Source organism: Homo sapiens, chromosome 10, assembly GCF_000001405.40.
Source record: "Homo sapiens chromosome 10, GRCh38.p14 Primary Assembly".
In the NCBI taxonomy this organism is placed as follows: Eukaryota; Metazoa; Chordata; class Mammalia; order Primates; family Hominidae; genus Homo; species Homo sapiens.
Genome location: NC_000010.11, coordinates 61270337 through 61278307, shown reverse-complemented (window position 1 = coordinate 61278307; position 7971 = coordinate 61270337).

The window sequence follows — 7971 nt, the reverse complement described above, 5'->3', positions numbered from 1 at the left end:
TCCCTAGTTATCCCAAGGCCTTTTAAAATCTTGATTTAACACTTGAACCCGGGAGGTGGGGGTTGCAGTGAGCCGAGATCATGCCTTTGCACTCCAGCCTGGGCAACAAGAGCAAAACTCCGTCTCAAAAAAAAAAAAAAAAAAAAAATCTTGATTTAAAATAGTTGAATATTCAAAGTAGCAGTGCCTGAAACACAACGTCTAAGAACATGAAATACACATTATGTGTTTAGATATCCCTTAACATCTCAGAGAAAAATAATTGTGAACCTCATAGCATCATAGAAGAGTCGTGTTTCTTTCTTCAGGAGTAGGATTCAATGGTGTGTGAATATGAGTCTTTCAAGAGCTCTTAGAATTGCTACCTTCTTTCCTGAACCTAACTAACCTATTTTTTTAATTAATTAATTTATTTGTATTATTATACTTTAAGTTTTAGGGTACAAGTGCACAACATGCAGGTTTGTTACATATGTATATATGCGCCATGTTGGTGTTCTGCACCCATTAACTCGTCATTTGGCATTAGGTATATCTCCTAATGCTATCCCTCCCCCCACCCCCCACCCTACAACAGTCCCCGGTGTGTGATGTTCCCCTTCCTGTGTCCATGTGTTCTCATTTTTCAATTCCCACCTATGAGTGAGAACATGCATTGTTTGAACTAACCTATTTAAAAGCTAAGACAGTTTCTTTTCTATGATGTCAATTGCAGGAGGACCACTGTTCATAAACACATATACGTAAACCATCATTCAGGCTGATTTAACACTCATAATATATGGCAGCAATCACAGGGAAAGCCCTTCTGAAAATGGGACAGTCTAAGCAAGGAGGACTGGGGCCTGCTGTAACTTCATCCATTAATTCATTTCCACCCATTCTAGTCACTCCAAACAACACAGGACCTCTTTTTCAATGCTTCTTGCCCTAGAAGTTGTAAATGCCTCAATTACCCAGGGCAAGTGGCCAAAAAAGTTTTCAGGGACTGAATGACATATGACAGTGGGAAGATATTTTAAAGATCTCTCATCTCAGGTCTTCTCCCTATCACCCTCATCATTTTGTCTCCCTTCTATTGTTAGAAGGGAGAATTCTATTGTTAGACTCTACACAGGGCTTCCTCCACTGTCTATGAAATGTGCTCTGGTCTTCCCCATTCTTAGTTTTGCAGGAATTTTTGTTGCTTTCCTATACCTCCTTTGCTGTCCATACTAAACTTTTTGAGGGAGTTTACTTCATCACTTTCATTATCATGATCTCCAGTGGAATTCCTTACAGTATAACATCTCCTTCGACTGCTCAGTTGCTTTCTCAGAAATCCTTCGTAACTTCCTCATCACCAAGTCCAATGGTGTTCTCTCCTTTGGTATTCTATTTTATCATTCTATAACTGTGACATTCTTGATACACCCTTCATTGTGAATCTCATCCATCTCCTGGGTTTTGGTGTCTTTGTCTTCCTCCTTGTCTATTCTTCACCCTCTGCACATAGAGACTCCTGAAGTTGCTGATCTTACCAGCCTTCCCTACTTTCATTATGTCCTAGTCTGTTTTGTGCTTTAACAGAATACTGGAGACTGGGTAATTTATTTTTAAAAAACAGAGATTTATTTCTTACAGTTCTAGAGGCCGGGAAGTCCCAGGTCAAGGACTGCATCTGATGAGGACCTTCTTGCTGTGTCATCCCATAGTGGAAAGCAGAAGGGCAAGACAGCATGCAAGAGAAAGAGCAAAAGATGGGACTTGCAGCCTCAAGCCCTCTTATAATTGGCATTAATCCTTTCATGAGGGTGGAGCCCTCATGACCTAAACACCTCCCATTAGGCTTTATCTTTCAACACTATTGCACTGGGAATTTAGTTTCTAACATATGCTTTTAGGGGAACACATTCAAACTATAGTATATTACAATCTCTTTATCAGTGGAGTCATATGCACCAGAGGCTTCTGCTGTCTGAATAGTTAAGTCTCCAAGCTACCTTTCTAGTGCTGACCTTTCAAACACACTTCAGATGTGTTTTTCTCATTGTCTAGTGGCCATAGCTTTCAAATTTAATGTACCCAAAGCTCAAATCATCTCACTCCCACAAGATAGGTCCTTTTCTAAATTTTTATTTTTCTTTCATGTTCAATTTTATTCTCAATCACTTTTCCCCTAATAATCCAGTCTGGAAAACTTTAAATAATTATTGTCCCTTTCCTCTTCATCTCATACCTACACTATATATCCTTAATATTTTCTGAGACTAAAATAATTATAAAGTTTGTAGCATCAAATACTAGCTAGTAATTTAGCTGAGCCTACCAGTACCATCACAGCATGTTTTAAGCTTCCTATCAGGGAACATTTCAAAGATATACAAAATAAGAGAAAATAGTAAAATGAACTTCCATGTATCTATAGCCCAGCTTCAACAATTATTACCTCAAGTCTTTTTTCCTTTCTTCCATATTTTTGCCACCCACACCCTGAAATATTTTGAAGAAAATCTCTGATATCACAATATTTATTTGCAAATACTTAAGTATGTGCAATGGTTAATTTTATGGGTCAACTTGACTGGCCTTGGGATGCCCAGAAAGGTGGTTGAACATTATTTCTGGATGTATCTGTTACAGTGTTTCCAGAGGAAATTAGCATTGGTGTAGACTGAGTAAAGCAAATTTCCCTCCCCATGTGGCTGGGTATCATTCAATCACCTGAGGGATTGAATAGAGCCAAAAAAAAAAAATAGAGTCAATTTGCTCTCTGCCTGACCGTTTGAACTGGGACATAGATCTTCTCCTGCCCTCAGTGCTCTTGGTTCTCAGACCTTTAGACTTGGGCTGAATCTACACTATCAGCTCTCTGGCTCTCAGTCCTTTGAACTATAGCCCTAGATTACCTGTGTCTCCAGCTTGCAGAAGGAAGATTATGGGGCTGCTCAGCCTCAATAACTGAGTGAGTCAATACCTTATAATAAATCTCTTGCTGTCTCTATGTATGTCCTCTTAACTCTGTTTCTCCAGAGAAATTTCAACGAATACAATATCTCTATAAGACTAAGATTCTTCAAAATAAACCATGATATAAACTACCCAAAATACACAATGATGACTTAATATCATATCTAGTCAGCAGTTTTCACATTTAATCCATTGATATATACCTTATATTTTTCTTTCTTTCTTTCTTTCTTTTTTTTTTTTTTGAGATGGAGTCTTGCTCTGTCCGCCCAGGCTGGAGTGCAGTGGCACAATCTCGGCTCACTGCAAGCTCCACCTCCCGGGTTCACGCCATTTTCCTGCTTCAGCCTCCTGAGTAGCTGGGACTACAGGCGCCCACCACCATGCCCGGATAATTTTTTGTATTTTTAGTAGAGACGGGGTTTCACCGTGTTAGCCAGGATGGTCTCGATCTCCTGACCTCGTGATTCGCCCGCCTTGGCCTCCCAAAGTGCTGGGATTACAGGCGTGAGCCACTGTGCCCAGCCCCTTATATCTTTTTAAAGTCAAAGTTTCTCTTAATCTCTTTCATCTTTTTTGGTCCTTTTAGTTATTGTTGAAGAAACTGGACAATTTATTAGACAGAGTTTACCTCAATCTGTATTTTACTGAATGCATCCCCTTGGTATCATTGAATATCCTCCTCTGTAATCTATATTTCTTGTAAAATGGTAGTTATATAGAGATTTGACCAGCTTATTTGGCAAGAATACCTCACAGATGTTCTTATATACCTCCACCAGAGAACAAACACATAGTGTCTGATTGTCCCACTTTTTGTGATGTTAACAGCCACTGATGATCATTGGCCAGATTCAGCAACATACTAGAGGTTATAAAATGGTGATATTTTAATTATCTCATTTCATTCTTAGTACATTTGTTATCTGGAGTATTTCAGTAAAGAGAAGTTTTACTTTATCAACTATCCAGCTACTCTAAGACAGCAATTCCCAACTTTTTGGCACCAGGGACCGGTTTCGTGGAAGACAATTTTTCTGCAGACTGGGAAGGTGGGGATGGCTTTGGGATGATTAAAGCACATTGCATTTATTGTGTACTTTATTTCTACTATTATTACATGGTAATATATAAGGAAATAATTGTAGACCTCATCATTATCTGTGGAATTAGTGGGAGCCCTGAGCTTGTTTTCCTGCAATGAGATAGTCTTATCTGGGGGGTGACTGGAGACAGTGACAAATCATCAGGAATTAGATTCTCATAAGGAGTGTACCATCTAGATTCCTCGCATGCATAGTTCACAATAATGTTTGCACTCCTATGAGAATCAGTTGCTGCAGCTGATCTGACAGGAGGCAGAGCTCAGGTGGTAATGCAAGAGATGGAGGGGGGCTGTAGATACCGATGAAGATTTGCTTGCTTGCCTGCCACTTACTTCCTGCTGTGCAGCCTGGTTCCTAACCAGTCATGGACTGGTAAGTAACACTCTGTGGCCTGGACATTTGGGACCCCTGCTCTAAGATACAGGTCATATAAAAATGAGAGGGTAGCTTAATTATCTTTATTTATTGTTTAAAAAATAATAAATTTGTTTCCTAGCAGGCTTCAAAATTGACCAATAATTGTGTTTTGTATGCTTATATATCCGTGAACTCAAGGAATTAATCTTATCTGATGTGTTTGAATTCATTAGAATACATTCTCTGGAATAATTATCCCATCTTTGGCCACTGTGAGCCTCTTCAACTCAGCTGCTGACTCTTTTTGACACAAACTTAGTCAAACAACCTTTGATAGCTTCCTTGCTCTCTGGTGCATTGTAGGCTCATCATACACATTTCTGCCTAAGCTTGCAACCATCCACATCCGAGGAGTAGGAAATAGCATTTAAAGACTACAAGCTGCATGCCACATATGCTTATTATTAATAACTTGATCACTGTTTCTAGGCCTTTTCAGTGGGCAAAACTAGAAGCCAACTTTCATGTAATTTCCTTATTCCTCATTCCCTCATTTAAAACATAGTCATATTATCTGCATTGTCAGAGCATGTAGACATTACATACTAGACTGCCTCATTTATAGTGTATTTTTGGTCTTGATTGTACAAGTATATTGATATTTAATGTTCTTTACCCATGCTTTCAGTAAATTTGGTTGTCTGAAGCTCATATTTTAGTACAGGGATTTTTTAAAACTTTATAATAATCTTTCATGGAACAATACTTTAGTAAAATACAATGAAAACAAATTACTTGAGAAATGATTCATGTACTTGGATGTCATGGCAATGTCAAAGTGCCATAAAAGTTTTGAACACTTGCTCTTAAATCCATTCTTATTTCTTTGTGGTTTGGTAGACTCCTTAAGAAGAGCACATGAGAACAATGTTCTCTGTGTTTTTGCATGTTGACATCAATTGACCATAGGCTTTTTGTACTTAAAGGTCAGTTTGGCTGAACATAAGATTCTTGGCTGACATTTTCTTCTTGTGAGTATCTTAAATATATTACTATAATATTTTTGGCCCTAAAAGTATGTCTGTTAAAAATTCTGATGACAATCTAACTTTCTTTCTACTTATCTTTTTGGTGGGATAGCCTAAAGATATTTATTTTAAAGGATGGTGTTGGCCATTATGGGTCAAATTTCAAGTCCTCTTAATACATAATTTCTAATTGTTTTTATTTTAGGAAAGTTTTCAAATTATAATTTCTCTTCAGAGATTCCTTTTATATAACAGTAGTTACCAAATTTGTTGTATCATGGAAGCAGCAGTCTGGCAAAAACAATGGAGTGTTTCACAGAATAATATTTTTAGATGTATAAAGGAGAACATACAGCATTTCAAAGGAAACTAATTATATTGAAATACAGTTGTCAAAATAATTTAAAATTATGTTGCAGTTATTAACTCTTTATTAACTATTAAGTAATGAGATATAGTTCTTAATTAATGAGATCTAAATATAGTTAACAACTACAAATTGAAAAAAGTGATGAGCATAAATGGTATTTGGAGCTGTTTTTCCAAACTGTAATTTGGCATTTTGACTTTTGTGATCATTTTTGGTGATAAAATCGTAGATACTGTCAGTACTACTGTGGTTTGGTGCATATGTTGATAATTAAAGAAAAACGTTAAATTTCAGCCAGAGGTCAGTAAAAATATATACATAATATATTTCTTAACCAAGTTCATTGCACCACCTAAATTTTACCCATAAACCCTGACATCCATGGACCCTGGGTTAGGAACCCCTGTATTAGACATACGTTGAAATTTCTAAACCATCATTTTCTCTCAGGTGCTTTATTTTTTTAACGCTTTATTTACATCATTTTGATTAAAATTTTTTTTCTTCCTTTCTATGTTCTGTTTCTCTCATTGCACTATTCTGTTTATTTGCTTTTGTGTTCCTCTTGGCTCAACTTCTTTAGTGAAATGATTTTATTTATTTCTAGTTTTTTCTCAACTTATGTAACTCTAATTTTAAATCTTCCTTAATCATCTCATTTCTGAGTTATTCTATTTGTGATTTCTTGTCACAGCTTCTACCATTAGCTTGGTTTATTTTAGCTCATTTTGAAATACCGGGCTTCAGTCTTCATCTGTTTTTGAGGGCATGTCATTCTTTGTGCCTCCCAGGTCATAGGGAATTCATTCTGCTTCTCATTCTTCTGAGACTGCATACTTTTTGCTTTGCTCATGCTTAAGTAAATGAGTTTTTGTGTACTTTTAGGAGGGAGGAAAGGGCGAAGTAACTTTTCTAGACTCATGACTCTAGGACTCCCTCTTCTGTTTCTTACCTTAAAGTAACTTAAATATACATAGGCTTGCATTTTGTGGAATCTCTCTCTTCTATTCCCTAATCCCTTTTCATCTGGAGTTTTCTTTTTTTCTTTTTTATTTTTTTCCTGCTCTTTTTGTCCCTGTTCTTCTCAATGTGAAGCTCATGCTAACAATTTCTCCTGGAAGGGAAGGTTGGCTTGTTATCATCAATGGCTTAGAGGGCCCAGATTATTCCAGCACCATTAGATCCTATCAAACATGGTCCCCTTGCTCTCACCCATGATTCAGAGCCTGCAAGACTCTTACCCAGTTCAGTCGTTTTCCAGTGTATATCTATAAGAAATATGGAATATTCTGGTATCAGAATCCTCACAACCCACATTGTCTTTCTTTTACTTCCTTCTACAGAGATGCTGATACTGCTCATGTCTGATGGCTCTCAGGGCTTTTTTCTAATCCCTTATATTTTGGAGTCTTTGGAAATAGCTTAACATTTAGTTATATATAGAGATAGATAGATAGATAGCAGATATGAATAGATACTGTCTATGGATTTTTTTGAATTTTTTATCATAGTGGCTCTATTGGTTTTATATAGGGCAGTGATTCTCCACTGGGGATAACTTTGTCCCCCAAAGGAATTAACCAATATCAGTGGCAGTTTTGGCTTTCACACTGGAGGAGAGGTAATACTAGCATCTAGTGGACAAAGACCAGGGATGCTATTAAACATGCACAGGACAGTCCTTCACAACTAAAACTTATCCAGTCTAAATGTCAATAGTGGTGAGGTTGAGAAACCCTGGTCTATGGGAATTTGGGGGGATTCAAAAAGTAAGCCACAACTGATACCCTCCCAGCTGCCTCCCAACCTCCTCATCAGTTCTTCATTTAAAAAAATGTATTCACTTCTATCCGTTATTATTAATCCCCTTGTTCAGACCCATGTTTTTTTTGTTTGTTTTTTGTTTTTGTTTTTGTTTTTGTTTTTGTTTTGAGTTGGAGTTTCGCTCTTGTTGCCCAGGCTGGAGTGCAATGGCACCATCTTGGCTCACTGCAACCTCCGCCTCCCAGGTTCAAGCGATTATCCTGCCTCAGCCTCTGCAGTAGTTGGGATTACAGGCATGCACCACCATACCCAGCTAATTTTGTATTTTTAGTAGAGACAGGGTTTCTCCATGTTGGCCAGGTGGGTCTCGAACTCCCGACCTCAGGTGATTCACCCA